Consider the following 16,496-nt stretch of genomic DNA (forward strand, 5'->3'; position numbering starts at 1 on the left):
ACTGGAAACAGCCCTGCTAAAGTTTAAAACACCTCAAGGGACATTCGAGAAGTGAGAACATGTGACCAGCGTGTAAGACACACCCCAAGCCCCCCAGCATGTCAGCTCTGCAGCAACAGCAATTGCATCTACTTTGGTCACTACCCTATTTCTATATTCAGAAATGTATCATGTGCACAGTGACTGTTCAATCAATATTGTTGGAATTAAACCATGATGCAAGAGAGGCCAGGCACAGTGGCGCACATCTGTAATCCCAACACTTTGGGAGGCCAAGGCAGGCAGATAGCTTGAGACCAGGAGATCCAGATCAGCCTGGGCAACATGATGAAACCCTGTCTCTACAAAAAATACAAAAAAAAAAAAAAAACCCCAAAACCAAAAACTGCAAAACATTACCCAGGCATGGTGGCACATGTCTGTGGTCTCAGCTACTCAGGAGACTAAGGTGTAAGGATAGCTTGAGCCCAGGAGGTCGAGGCTACGGTGAGCCAGGATCACACCACTGCACTCCACGTTAGGTGACAGAGTAAGACCCTGATTCAGAAAAGTAAAATAAGATAAAACAAAATAAACGAAACAAAATAATAAACATAATGCAAGAGAGAGTCTGAAAATATTAATTGGGTATCTGGATCCACCCATGCCTGGTGCCAGATATTCCAAGATTTTTAAGTTATGTAAGTGAATATACTTTTTCTTTAAATAATCAATTTTGGTTTTATATGAATTAAATATTTCTAATATTAATGAAGGGGTCAAAAATATATTTTCAGTGATGTTTCACAGAATTTTCTTTCTTTTTAAATTTCAACTTTTGTTTTAGGTTTGGGGTACATGTGCAGGCTGGTTTCTTTGAGTAATCAATTTGTGTTTTATATGAATTAAATATTTCTAATATTAATGAAGGGGTCAAAAATATATTTTCAGTGATGTTTCACAGAATTTTCTTTCTTTCTTTTTAAATTTCAACTTTTGTTTTAGGTTTGGGCGTACATGTGCAGGCTTGTTACATGGGAATATGCTAAGGTTTGGGGTATGGATGATCCTGTCACCCAGGTAGTCAGCACAGTACCCAATAGGTAGTTTTTCAACCTTCAACCCCTTCCTCTCACCTCTTTCTAATAGTCCACAGGGTCTATTGTTCCCATCTTTATGTCAATGTGTACTCAATGTTTAGCTCCCATTTATAAGAGAGAACATGCAATATTTGGTTGTCTGTTTCTGTGTTAATTTGCTTAGGATAATGGCCTCCAGTTGCCTCCGTGTTGCTGCCATGGACATGATTTTGTTTTTTCATGACTGTGTAGTATTCTACGGGGTATTTGAATCACATTTTTAAAATCCAGTCCACTGTTGATAGGCATCAAAGGAACATACCTCAGAATACTATGAGAAAGCGATGACAAATGCACAGCCAACATCATACTGGGAAACCAAAAGCTGAAATCATTCCCCTTGAGACCTGGAACAAGACGACAAGGATGCCCACTCTTACCACCCCAATTCAACATGGTACTGGAAGTCCATGCTAAGAAATAAACAAAGCCATCCAGATAGGGGAAAAAGAAGTCAGATTATGTCTCTTCACTGATGATATAAAACCTAGAAATTCTGAAGACTCTTTCAAAAAGCTCATAGAACTGATAAAGAGCTTCAGTAAAGGACACAAAATCCAGGTCCGAAAACGAGTAGCATTTCTATACATCAACAACATTCAAACTGAGAGCCAAATCAGAATGTCATCTCATGCATATTTTGGGCTTTTCTAGCTGGTAAGCAAATGTGCCACACCTACAAAGAAAGCCAAATCTTAATGCTTGGAGACACAATGCACTTAATGAGAAAGAAAGAAAATATGTTCTGGTTTTCTTTTCATAGATGTCCCAGCATCCCTGAAGAGGTATAGAGGGGTAGCCTGCAATCTCCTGCAGTCCCGTGCGTTTGTGGTATGGCCATGTTTGGGGATGTTTATAGACCCTGTGCTTACAACCACCATGGGCCATCTGGCAGGACCTCAAATTTTACCTCGACTTTTACATTCTAGAAATCCCTAAAGTGGAGAGCAATGTTTTCTGAGACTGAATCTCAGTTCAGACCCAGTTCAAGAATCCTGTTATAATAGTTTTTAAAAAAATAGAATCAGGCCGGGCGCAGTGGCTCACTCCTGTAATCCCAGCACTTTGGGAGGCCAAGGTGGGCGGATCACGAGGTCAGGAGATCGAGACCATCCTGGCTGACACGGTGAAACCCCGTCTCTACTAAAAAAAAATACAAAAAAATTAGCCAGGCGTGGTGGCGGGAGCCTGTAGTCCCAGCTACTCGGGAGGTTGAGGCAGGAGAATGGCGTGAACCCGGGAGGCGGAGCTTGCAGTGAGCCGAGATCGCACCACTGCACTCCAGCCTGGGTGAAAGAGCCAGACTCCGTCTCAAAAAAGAAAAAAAAAAAAGAAAAAGAAAAAAGAGAATATACTAGCTGTATCGTTTTAGGAGACACAGATAAATAAGCACCCAATTCAAGCCATACATCTGAAACATTCTGAATAGACTTAAATGTGAAACTCCGGTTTGCAAACAGTGACATGGAGCAGGAAAAGCCAGTGTCTGGTGCAATTGGCACACACCAAGGGCTCTGTCTTTTCAGCAGCAACTCTCACAGGGAAGCACTCTCTCTTTAGAGAAACACATACATCATCATCTCTGTTAAAAGGTAGACTCGTGTGCAGACATTCAACGAAACGGCCCTTGCCTCCCACGTAAAAAGCAAATGAGGTTATTTGATTTTGTTTCTTGCTGCTCTTATGCCATGTTACAGAAGCAAATCCCTGGTAAATAAAGTGGCATTAGTCCCGGGGGTATTTATTGTTCTCTGAGAAATCTAATTACTGTAGATTTTTCCTTCACTATTCTCCAAGATTTTCTAAGTTAAAGGCTAAAGTGGATGCCAATTAGATGGCTCTTGACGGTATTACTAAAAATATTATTTACGACCTAATATAAAGTTATGTGTATTTCTCTGCCTCAAACACTAAACTGATGCTAATTTAGTATTGATTAGGGAAAGACCAGGGCAGAGATTATCGCTTTGTTCCATTTAAGGCTCTTTTCATGGCTGGATTCAGGTGAATGGGAGAAAAAAGTCTTCCTTTTTAGTTGTGCTGCCTGAGACGTATTGAGCTCTCTGCCCCAGAAATAACTTTTGAGAGGCTATAAGAGGGATTCAAGTTCCTAACTAAGCCAAAAAGTGTAGAAGGATGTAAAATTCAGAGAGGGTGGAATAAAAGAAGAGTAGATGAGAGACATTCTACTTTGGGGTTTGATGGGTTCGTTTGGTGCAGAGCAAATCTACCACTGGGAAAAACTAAGAAAATTGGAAACATTTTTTAAAAAACCTGATGGCATTGGGGAGCTACTGAGACATCCAGTATATGAGGAGCAGGATGCCAGAGGGATCAGAAACTTATCAGGGTGAAACTGACATTTTCCCTTTTTTCCTTCAAGAATTTGCTGGTTATAAGCAGCATGGAATAACAGGTTGAGAAGTCAAACAGAAATCCTCACAGAAAACATGCAGTAGACAGGGTTTTAGATAGTCCCAGGAGGCTGAAAAAATAAAAGTGGAATGCAGGGTTACTAAGGTAATTAGAACATGAAAGGCCAAGATTCAGGAAAGAAGGGAAACGCAGAGACGCAAGTACAGTTCTATCAGTCTCAATGTTGTTTGCAATGCCTGACTTGCAGAGAGTGAGAAATTCTGCTGGAAGCTTCCTCACAGGGGCTGAGCAATTAAATCAAGTTATCAGTACACTCACAAGGGGAAGACAAAAATTGGACCTAAGGCTCTTCTACAACCTTAGTAAACTGAATTTGTCTCTTTATTTCATCCTAGTAACAAGGTCATAAGAAATGAGGAGGTACGGTAATAACCACTTCAGAAAGCTAAAAGACTTAGAGAAGACAGTACTGGCTTGTTTTCAAAGGAATCTTGCCTTTTATATTATTACCAATACTTATTATGTATCTATATGTTTATATAGTTGCAAATAGACAGTGTATTTTAACAATTTTAACAAACCTTTTTATTTTTTACTAAGCTTATCATTTTATATCAAGTTTGTAATATATATATATTACTAGCATGATGACCATTTGCAGACACGTCCAATGTGAGGCAAGAGTAAAATGCAAACACACATGTATATGGCATGGAAATGTGCATTAGGGAAAAGTCTGGGTTTTCATTACAGATAAAACAACTATGGTACCAGAGAGACGGATTTATACCTTGATCCACACTTACTATTATGCATTTATTAGCTCTTTGATTCAGGACATATTAACTGCTTATAGCCTTTGTTTCTCCATCCATAAAACTGGAATGTAATAATAACCACTGCATAAGGCCATTGTTAGGGTTAAATTAAGTATTTTATGTAGACTACTAATGGCTTAGCATGGCATGTGGTAAGTATGCAGTAGATGCTTGCTGTTTTTGTTACCTATAATATGGAAAAGAAAATAACGTAATACGTGCAAAGTAGACAATACAAAGCCAGGTATGTTGAAGTTGCTTGGGTGGGATTACAATAAGGAAATTGAAGTAATTTTGGTGATGGCCTAATTTCATCTACTAAAAGTGAAAAAAAAAAAAAGACATACTCTTCCATATGTGGACTTTTCTGGCCTTAAAGTACTTCTCCTAATATACTGAGAACTGTGTGTATTTTCTGTTTTTAAGACATTTAAATGTGTCCACCTTGTTGCATTACAAAAGGTTCCCAGGGCCAGCCAGTGTGCAGGCTGGTAGACATAATTTCTGGCTCTTTCAAACACATGCCATTCTTCCAAACACACAACATGATTTTCTGAATGCCAAGTGGATGAATATATGTGGCCTGGAAACATTTGCCTTACAGCATTTTAGTAACTGAATATTATGTGTCAGTATCTTGCTTAAAGTCAGGATACCAGAATTTACATCCTTGTTAGCCATAGATATACTTTTCAACAGCTTTTTAACTCCCAAAATAGTGACAACTTGCACAGCTCCTTTTTCCACAATTCTTTTGACATATTACTCATAACATACACATCATGAGGCAAAAGTGAATTGTTATTGAATATTATTTCAATTTTAAAGCATGCTAAGAAAGAGTAAGTGTTAACTGTCTCTTTCTGTCAGTTAACTCAGACAAAAACGCTTAGAGGAATTCCCCGAGAATGGAGTCCTGAAACTAGGTAAGAGATTCCGGTTACAATAAACTGCTCTCAGAATTCCTATTTAAGGACTCATAACAAGTGTAGTTAAATAATCATTGGTGCAATTATTTTTTCCAGGGGCCATCATCAAAAACACCAAAATGAACCACAGAGAAGATGCAAATGTAGCAGGTCAGTTGGGGACTGTGGTGAACTGAGTGAGGGTGACCCAATTTCAGTGGATAGAACCATCATTCACCCCCAGCCAAGTCTTTGTATGCAGGAATGTGGCCTGGTGTTTATGAATTTTCCAAATTTTTAGGGAAACCAGACAAATTTTATTTTTTAATTAATTAATTTATTAATGACAGAGTCTTGCTCTGTCACCCAGGCTGGAGTGAAGTGCCATGACCTTGGCTCACTGCAACCTCCGCCTCCTGGGTTCAAGCGATTCTCCTGTCTCAGCCTCCTGAGTAGCTGGGATTACAGGCGTGCACCACCACACCAGACCAATTTTTGTGTTTTTAGTAGAGATGGGGTTTCACCACGTTGGCCAGGCTGATCTCGAACTCCTGACCTCAGGTGATCCTCGCACCTTGGCCTTAAATGTTGACAATTAATTTAGTTTAAAAATCACTGTGGTTGTCTATTTGCTGCTCAAAGCTCAATCGGCTATATATGCGTGTGTTTATTTCTCACATCTCAGTTCTGTCCTCTTGGTCTATATGTCTATTTTTGTGTCAAGATCACACTGCTTTGACTACTTCAGATTTGCAGTAAGTTTGTAAATGGAAAGTGTGAGTTTGGTCACCCACCACCTTTGTGCTGACATTTGCAAATGTATTCCTTTTCCATATATTGTATATATTATTGGCCTAACTATATGTAACAATAGATGTATGGATGGTAGATAGATTAATAGATAAGTAGATAGATTAAATAGATGGAGGATGGATGAGAGATAAGTGAAAAGATAGATGAATAGATGGTTAGATAGATCAATAGATAAAAGAGATTAGATAGATGAATAGCTAGATTACATGATGGATGAATGGATATACACACAGTGTTTTATACAATTTATTTTGTATACAATTATCCTTTAAATTAGTTAAGAGACAAAAGGAGAATAAATATCCTTTCATGCTATCTTTTATAATGACATAATCATCTTAACCAGTGCTGTTAGTTTGTTCATGGGAAGTTGGATTACTTTCTGTGGCCAGCAATAAATTATCTGAGTTTTTCAGTTGTTTTGTAATGCCTTTACCTTGTTTGATTTTTGAAAAATAGTTCTGTTGGATATAAGTTTTTTTTGTCAACAGTGTTTGTTCGTTTGTTTTTACATTTAAAATATGTCATTACCTTCTAGCTTCCATTGCTTTTTGTGAGACATCATTCACTTATGTTATTGGGGTTACCTGTATGCAACAACTTGTTCTCATTTTACCTTCAAGATTGTCTTATTGTCTTAAGCTTTTAGTGTTTTTGCCGTGATGTTGCTAGCTGTAGATATCTTTGTATTTATTTTTTGTTTGTTGAGCTCCTTTGGTGGGTAGACTAATGTTTTTCAGCAAATTGGGGAGATTTTCCACCATTATTTCTTCAAGTACGTATTTGTTTTTCTTTATCACTCCTCTGTTTCCAGCACACCCATTGTGCATATGCTGGTGTCCAATAGCATCTCGCATGTCTTTTAGATTCTAGTTATTTTTATTCATTCTTTTTTCTTTTGTTATTCAGGTTATATAACCTTGGTTGATCTATTATCAAGTTCACAGATTCTTTCTTCTTCCAGTTCATATCTACTGTTGAGCCTCTCTAGTGAATTTTTCATTTTAATGATTATTCTTTTCAAATCCAGAATTTTCATTTGGTTCTTTTTTATAACTTTTATCTTTTTTTGAAATCATGTGGCACTGTTATCATTGTTTATTTGTTTGTGTGTGTTTGCTTTTGGTTTTATTTTCGTTTTACTTTTTAAGTTTTTTTTTTAAGTTCTGGGATACATGTGCTGAATGTGCAGGTTTGTTACGTAGGTATACATGTGCCATGGTGGTTTGCTGGACCCATCGACCCGTCATCTAGGTTTTAAGTCCTGCATGCATTAGGACAAACCCCTAATGGTTTGAACATATTTAAATCTGTCTGTTAAATTTGACATCTGGATCCTTTCACAGGAAGTTTTTGTTGCCTACGTTTCCCGCTATGTATGAGTCACACTTTCTTGTTTCAGATGTCACATCATTTGTCTTAGTTGTAAAAAATTGGACACTTTAAAGAATATATGTAGTCAATCATGATACAGATTTTCCTCCCCCCTCTCTGGGATTTGTTTTGCTAATTGTTTGCCTATTTAAGTATTGCCTAACTTATTTTGTAAAGTCTACTTCTTACCACGGTGAAGGCTTTTGTGCTCATTGCTCAGAGGGCACAGCCTTGGACATGGACAGGGTAAGCATTGGATTACTGTTGTTTAAACAAGGTTTTCTTTGAATGTTTCTTTCCTTGATCTCTCTGTTAACCTGCCTGCCTCATTTGGTTCACATCCAATTATTAGGATCCACTAATTGCTGGCTGATTATGCTGTTGTTTTCTAGAACGTCCTGGATTATATATTGCTCCACAGTCTGATGCAATTACATCTGGGCAAACTGTGGTTTTTGAGGCCATTGTTTGAGGTTTTCTTTGACCTCAAACATATGGATTATTTATAGCAGTCACATTATCTGGTTCTCATAAGTAAACTAATTAGTTTATGTTTTAGCATGTTCTTCTTAATTATGAGGAATTACCAGTTTATTATTTGTATACCACCAACATTTCCATTGTTTTCAAGCCCTTAGATCTGAACTTCCCCACACTCTTTTTCAAATACACTCAGTTCTTTTGGGGAAAGAGTTAGGGCTCTCTGTTCTTACACACTTCTATTCTCCCTTGGCACAATCTCTGAGCTACCACTACAAGTACTGGGTACAGCCTGTGGTTTTCTAGACTTGTCTCTCCCAACCAGAATCCTTCAGGTCGTCTAGGGCATGCCCTTCAAGACAGCCTGAAATGCCTGGCGTAAAGCTTTCATCTTAAGAGGGAAGGCCAGGCTGAGGAAGTGATCCTCTGACCTCTCAATTGTATTTACTAGCAATTTAGCCTCAACTTGAAATTAGAGGAGACATGAAATGTTGGTGGCCTGTGCCTCCCAGTGAGATAATATTCCTCGGTTGGGAGCTGAGGAAAGGGAGAGCTCTGTCTTTTTTCCTCCATATCTCTGGAGATGAGGTTCCATCTGCTGAACTCAGGGAAAGGAGGTGGATTATGTCTTGAGTGCCTCAGACTCTTGGTATTTGGTAGGCTTTCTACAACAAATGTTTCTTCCTTTGCTGTACGCTGTTGAGACAATTGCCAGAGACTCTCCACAGCTGCTTTGTAAATAGTTTTCACCCGTAGTGCTCTTTCTTCCTCCATGGAACTCCTCATGTTGCCATCTCAGAGTCCTGTTAACTAAATTTTACTTGGTGCTCTACACAAAACGTAAACTTTTTATAAAGAAAAAAACATTAATTAAGGCAATTTTTAACCAAGAAATGCAAAATAAAAGATCATAAGCTGGGCGTGGTGGCTCACACCTGTAATCTCAGAACTTTGAAAGACTGAGGCAGGTGGATCACTTGAGGCCAGGAGTTCAAGACCAGCCTGGGCAACATAGTGAAACCCCATCTCTATTAAAAATACAAAAACTAGCCAGGCCTGGTGGTGGGCACCTGCAATCCCAGCTACTTGGGAGGCTGAGGCAGGAGAATCATTTGAGCCCAGGAGGCGGAGGTTACAGTGAGCCAAAATCACGTGACTGTACTCCAGCCTGGGCAACAGAGTGAGACTCTATCTCAAAAAAAAAAAAAAAAATCATAAGAGACAGTACTTTCAGGAATATAATGCTAGTTAATTCTAGAGCATAGTCACTACTTTTTTCCCTGAGGACCACAAGAAAAGGCCTTGAACCCAAAATATTAGAAAAAAAATTCAAAGAAATGATTTGGTACTTAAAATACACTCATAAGATATTCTGATAATTAGAAAAATGTATTTATTAGAGAAAATGTTAAAAAAAAAAAAAGCCTAACCAAGCATCACACTTTGAATAATGAAATGTAGAAAATTATTCTTTTAAGGTTGGAGCTATTACAAGTGTGATATTTATTACTGCTTCATTTAAATATTGGAAACACCAACCAAATAAAAGTTATCAGAAATGAAAATTTAAACATTATATTGTCATTATTAGCAGACGTATATACAGATAAAATATTAAAAACGTAGGCAAGACAGGGCACAGTGGCTCAGGCCTGGAATCCCAGCACTTTGGGAGGCCGAGGCAGGCAGATCATTTGAGGCCAGGAGTTCGAGACCTGCCTGCCCAACATGGTGAAACCCTGTCTCTACCAAAAATATAAAAATTAGCCAGGCTTGGTGGTGCCCACCTGTAGTCTCAGCTACTCAGGTGGCTGAGGCAGGAGAAGTGCTCCAGCCTAGGAGGTGGAGGTTGCAGTGAGCCAAAATGGTGGTACTACACTCCAGCCTGGGCAACAGAGCGAGACTCTGTCTCAAAAAAAAAGGTAATAATAAAAATAACAAAAAAAAACCATATGCAAGACTTTTGGTTAATATTCATATATGAAAAAGGAATTAAATTTCTATATTTTAACAACAAACACTTGGAAAATTAAAGAAAACAAAGATGAAAATGCATCAAATACTTAGGAATAAATCTTTGAAGTAAAGCTTTGGGACAGGTCTACACAGAAAGCTTTACCATGACTTTATTAGAGAAACAATAGAAGACCTAAATAAACAGAAAGTATATCATGCTTATAAATTGGATGGCTCAAGATCATAAAAATGTCAGTTCTTCCCATGTGATATATAGATTCAGTTCTATTCTAATAAAGATGTGAAAGGTTGTGTGTGACTGTGTATGTTGGAAATTGACAAAATGATGATTCTAAATTCTTGGCAACGGATCAAATGACAAGCTGATCCTAAAACTTTTGTGAAAGGCCACAAATAACAAAGTTACTTTTGTATAAAATTAATAAGGTGGAAGGACAGGGAGGTACAGAGAGGGATAAATCAGCCAGCAGTTACTTTATTTATGACAAAACCAAAACTGCAGAGCCATGCGAAAGGACCACTTTTTCAATGAGTTACCATAGAAAAATATTGGGAAAATTGCTGACTTTTTAATTGTACCTTACTTAATTTATACCTGTTGTTCCATTATTGGAGCGCTAAGCATGTGGGAGTTATTTATATCCTACTCCTCAAGGTCATCACCAAGGTTTTATTTTTCACACGTCTGCCTCCGGAGGGTACATGTTATCACATGGTGCACAGCCTTAGTCACTGCTGCAGATACTGCTGTGCTGGGAGCTTGTCAAAAAGTGAAGTTAGTTTGGGAAACATTTTTGAGGAAGTATGCAAAGACAGGTACATATAACTTCACTGAATTACATCCTATACTAGTAATTTATTCTACTACTTCTCTACTAGTTATACTATTATGCTTTAAAAAGAAAATACAGAAATTATTATAGTTGCATTAGTTATGGGTTTGGCATTTTTCATGTTCCATTTTTAGAACACTAGGCAAAACCACTGCCACTAGGACTAATAATACCTTTTTTTTCTGTGTTAGTCCCAAGATGCCTTGAACTCTAAGTTTGCATGAAATAACTGACCTTTTAGAGACAAATGACAGCATAGACTCAAGTGCTGTAGTGATACAACAACCTGAAACTGCTGCAGCACCTGTTTCTGTTGAGGACTCAGGAGATGAAGAAGGGGGGATAATAAATAATCTGCCAGGTTCTTTGTTGCACACAGTTGCATATCTTATTCAAGATGGCTCTGATGCTGAGTCTGACTCAGATGATCCCTCATACGCACCTAAAGATGACTCTCCCGATGAAGTTCCACCTACCTCTACTGTGCAGCAACCTCCACCATCAAGGAGGAGGAAAGTGACAAAAATTGTTTGCAAATGGAAAAAAAGCTGACCTAACTGCGCAACTCATAGCAGCTAGAGTTACAGAACCACCAAATGATTTCTTCACCGAAATGAAACTCCCACAGAAATTCTTGAACGTTTTCTTGATGACAAGGTCGTTGAACTCATTGTCAGGTACTCCAATTTACACGCTCGAAGTAAGGGTGTACAGCGTGGCTTAACTAGCTCTGAATTCAAATGTTTCCTAGGAATTATTTTCTGAATGATTACATCTCAGTTCATAGAAGGCATACGTTTTGGGAAAAAAGAACAGATGCACATAATATACTGGTTTGTGCTGCCATGAGATGTGACCACTTTGAAACTATATTTTCTAACTTGCATGTTGCTGACAATGCAAATTTGGATCCAATGGACGAGTTTTCCAAGTTGCAACCTCTCATAAGCAAACGCAATGAGAGATGTATGAATTTGTTTTCGGCCAGGTTCTGGAGGGTGACCATGGGTCTCCAGATAATGGCATCAACCAAACTCCAGAAAATCTATTGGCTTCTCATCATATGTTTTATACAATTGCCAAGCATTTTGTAAGACCAATTCAAAACAGAACAGAAGAGGGCTTGAATGCCATTCCTTTCCATGGATAGATGCCCGATACTTATCAATGTTTTCATCAGCGCTGTCTATGCTCCCTATGCACTGGTTATACACTTTGATCATGTTTGGCTGCTGAACTTGGGTTTCTTTTTCAGTTATTCGTTATTCTGGGAATAACGATGGACAAGACACGGGGGATGGATTCCAGCACCAGAAGAGGCAACAGTGACAACACTGTTATCATTCCATCTGCAGACAAGACTGCCTTTGCCATCAATTCAATAATGGAATGTGCCTTTCTTTTTTCTTTAGAGCTACATCTAATTTCAGTGGAGCTTTCTCAATGTGATCCTTTCTCACTGTACCTGTTGCCCGATTTCCCATTGAACTGAGCTTATCAAGAAGTACAATACTGGTGAAAAAGTTATCGAATACAAAATGGTATTGTCCAGGATGTGCCTCTGTAAGTGCCTCACTAAGCTGACGGACAAGTGACTCAACAACACCATATCCCTAATGTTTAGTATTTGGGTTTTTACCCTGATACGGCTGAAACCAGCAAATGTAGCCCAGACATATGGCACCACACCAAAACTTATAGCCAAACAGAACGGGCTTTCCCTGAGTAAACTGCACCAGTGACGACCAAAATAAGGAACCATGGATTCGTCATCACTCAGGTATTAAACCTAGTACCTATTAGTTATTTTTCCTGATTCTCTCCCTCTTCCCACCCCCCAAAAAGGGTTTCTTTTCTAATGGGATTACATCTCAAGTTCGTTCTTCCCATTACATTTATTGTCATTAAATAGGATAAGTGATGTACTTTTACACTATTTTTAACATTCATATAACTTGTATTCATTACACTGAAACTCTTTTCAACTTCAGCACTGTTCATTGCAAGAGCACTTTTTTGGGGAACAGTTGCAGGAATTGGAGCATTATTTGGTTTTAAATTTTTAAATAGTGGTTGTACTTAACAGCAAGCTCATAAAATTCTTGTTAACTGACTCTGATAAGCTGATATGAGTTGGCTTTCAGTATACCACGCTTACCAACCTTTATTTCTGCTGCCTTTATGTTGAAATGTAAGAAAACTTAGGTGTAAAAATGGCTGTGAAAATTTATTACACCATTAATTTGAAAAAAAGATGTGTAATCGTCTTTGATTATGTGTAAATTATCTCTGCTTCTTCCTGGTTTTGCATTGTTTCTATAATAGAGTAAGATACTGCACACTAATTATATATTAACAAGCACAAATTAGCTGGGGCACAAAAAAACAAATTTTTCTGTTGAATTAAGGATCACTGGGTGACTGGAGAGCTCAGTTAATGACTTCAAATAAGCACTTCTCACAGTGAATGGTGATTAATGAACAGTAAATCATTTAATAAACACCACTGGCTTTGTAATTGGAAAAGTCACTAGCCTGAGCGGCCCTCATTTAAGATTTTAAAAGTAGCAAACTGCTACTATTGAAGCCAGATTGTCTCAGGTCATATCTCAGATATGCTACTTATGTGCTGTGTGACTTTAGACAAACTATCATCCATGGGCCTTAGTGTCCTCATCTACAAAATCCATAACTTTTCCAAAGTACCTAAACATCTACACCTCTGTGGTATGAAGTAAGCAATATGCAAGTGCCAGCTTAATTGTCGTACATACAATGTATCTGTAAGGATCTTGAAAGGGACTGTGGGTCACACTCAAATGGGGAAGCAGAATTTTTAATGTGCAAGAACTCCTTAAACAGGCATTGGCAGAATCAGGGGAAGCAACAAGATATGATGAAACACGCGAGAACTACCAAACATGGGAAGGAGTTACTGCTCAAAACTGAAAGGGCAAGAGGAAGAAGCTTTATTGTGTTCCCAGAACACAATAAGAACCTCACTGGGGGCTGTGGCCTTGGCAGAGGAAGGCAGACACCTCCAAGCTGTGACCTGGCAGGGAGGAAGTGGAGAGAATAAAATGCTTTGACTTCTCTTGCTTCTGAGCTCCAAAATTCTCCCATTGGCTGAACACAACTAGAAGGCCTCAAACAAGGAAGTTCAGCGTCCAAAGAGGTCAGCTTCCTTGTATTCTAAAGAACAGGGCAGGGTGGACAGCAGAAGAGGGAAGCAAACAGAAGGTATCTAGCAAAGAGGACACTTACTGGAAGTTTAGCTGTACCTTGTATGCAATCAATGTGGATAAATAAAACAAATACTGCAGGACAGCCTCATTACTCTTGTTAAGAACTGGCCAGTATATACTTGTCTGTGACAGTGATTTACCATTTTTGTTTGGTTTTGAATCAGAACCAGGAATGATCATCTTATTTGAAAAGTGAACAAGAATAGTAAACTCACTAGAATTTCCATGATGCTTTATATTTAACAAATTGCTGACATCTATTAAATTATCTTTAAGCCCTATAACAACTTTGATAAGGTAGATCTTTATTTTACACATAAAGAAACTGAGGTGGGGGGAGGTTTTTTGACAAGGGTCATTGTGACCCATTGTACAATTTTTCAGCTAATAGTTAAAGAACTTGCGGAGACCTGCAGACAATTTCGCAAAGGATTTAAGAGCACAATATCTTGAATGCCTTCATTCTCTCATCCTTTCATTGCTCATGCATGATTAGAAAGCATAGTCCACGTTCTCTTCTGCATGCTGGGGACTGAGAAGTGAACAAAACAAAGCCTCACACCCTGTGGAGCTGATAATTAAGTGCATGACACAGACAGCAAACATAAAGATCCATACATACCCCCTGGGTCAGATAAGGTATGTGTCAAGGGGCTGGAAACAGTCGCAAATTCCTTAACATGTTTTTTTTATTAAATGTCTTCTTTAATAAAGTGATAGTTCAACAGGGACCTGAAGACAGCTAGCCAGATGGACATATTAAGAGGAAAATTGTTTCAGATTAATTGAGACCCAAGTAAAAATTCAGGTCTTTTTTTTTTCTTTTTTTGAGACGGAGTGTCGCTCTGTCACCTCGGCTGGGGTGCAGTGGTGCAATTTCAGCTCACTGCAAGCTCTGCCTCCCCAGTTCATGCCATTCTCCTGCCTCGGCCTCCCGAGTAGCTCAGACTACAGGCGCCCGCCACCACACCCAGCTAATGTGTGTGTGTGTGTGTGTGTGTGTGTGTGTGTGTGTGTGTGTGTGTTTTAGTACAGACGGGGTTTCACCGTGTTAGCCAGGATGGTCTTGATCTCCTGACCTCGTGATCTGCCCTCCTCGGCCTCCCGAAGTGCTGGGACTACAGACGTGAGCCACCGTGCCCTGCCAAAATTCAGGTCTTTTAAGGGCCTCCTGCATAACCAGGGGCAAGTGGCAGTCTCTTTGAAGCTCAATTTCCACATTATTATAATAGGAATAAAGTTATCTCATACACTTGTTGCAAAGATTATACATTAGGTGTAAAATATCTGAGTAGTGTTCTTAATATATCACATCTATTTAATAAATGGAAACTGTTACTATCATAAATGCTCAAAGACAAAAAGTACTTGCTCCTCACATAACATAAAATTGCACCCAATTCCATAATCAATGCCTAAACTTTCATCCTATGAAATCTTGCAGCTTGTGATGATTTCTCTCCGTTGTAATATTTGTACATTTTGTTTTTTTCAAGAATATCAATTTGGACAGAATCTGAATATAACTGACCATCATCAATTACCTGCTAAAAATCTGATTGCCTGCAGGCACATTCTGGAAGTCTGTGTGAAAAGAAAAAATGTTTATAGCTACTTAGTTATACCACTTATAAACCCCATTCTTTTAAAAACGTTTTTAATGTCTGAAATGAATAAGTAAATGAAATTGGCTATTTATGATTCCTCTGATATTCTCGTGTTTTTTCATGGGAGAATATTAGAAGAATCCTTCAATATGCACTTATCTTGTTTTATATCTTTCTTTGTTGATGGAAGTGCAAATCTTTTTAATCTTTCTGAAAATAGCTTTGTAGTGTGTATGAGCTGCCTTGCTTAAATTTGAGTATCATTCTCTACTGAAGGATTTCAGAGTGTATTAATGGCAAACAACATTCAATGTAATTGTGCATTCTCTTTCATGTATCATTCAGTTCTTGAAAAATGAAAATTATTATATCATAAATAATTGTTGTATGCTTCTCAGTAATGTGAAGTGCTGTAGACTGACCATATAAATACATATTTGCATAAAATTGGCAATCAAAGATGATGCACGGAAGAACTTACTTGTCAGAACAAATGGTTTGCAATATTCATTATTTTCTTGTAAAGAAACCATTATTGGGGATGACTTAACTAGTGCAGAGTTATTTGGTGAGCAATGTATTGATCAGACATCTGGAAAGATAAAAATGCCAATACTCAGACTGACAATTTGTCTATAAAACTGGATATATTTCTTACACACACACACAGACACACACACGCATACACACGGTTTGGCTCTGAAAGTAGTAATTTTCCTTTCCTCTATATGTCCATTGAAATCATTCAAGACGCTCAAGACACATTTAGCAATGGTGGATGGCAAAATGAAGGATAACAGGGGTTATTTAAGTTAAACATGCATTTTTTTTGGAAAAATAGTGAGTGCAAAAAACGTAATTAACTATTTAAGGCTTTGCACTGATACTAGCCAAGAGTGCCCAAACATCTCTCCCCAGGTGTGGTATATTCCATCTCACTATAAAAT

At 38.2% G+C, this 16,496-nt stretch overlaps 2 pseudogenes; one reads left to right on the forward strand and one right to left on the reverse strand.

The window, feature by feature from the left end:
* On the forward strand, positions 10,887-11,676 carry PGBD3P3 (piggyBac transposable element derived 3 pseudogene 3; annotated as a pseudogene).
* LOC100421201 (piggyBac transposable element derived 3 pseudogene) lies at positions 11,671-12,469 on the reverse strand (annotated as a pseudogene).

The sequence above is a fragment of the Homo sapiens genome, chromosome 12 (genome assembly GCF_000001405.40).
Source record: "Homo sapiens chromosome 12, GRCh38.p14 Primary Assembly".
In the NCBI taxonomy this organism is placed as follows: domain Eukaryota; kingdom Metazoa; phylum Chordata; class Mammalia; order Primates; family Hominidae; genus Homo; species Homo sapiens.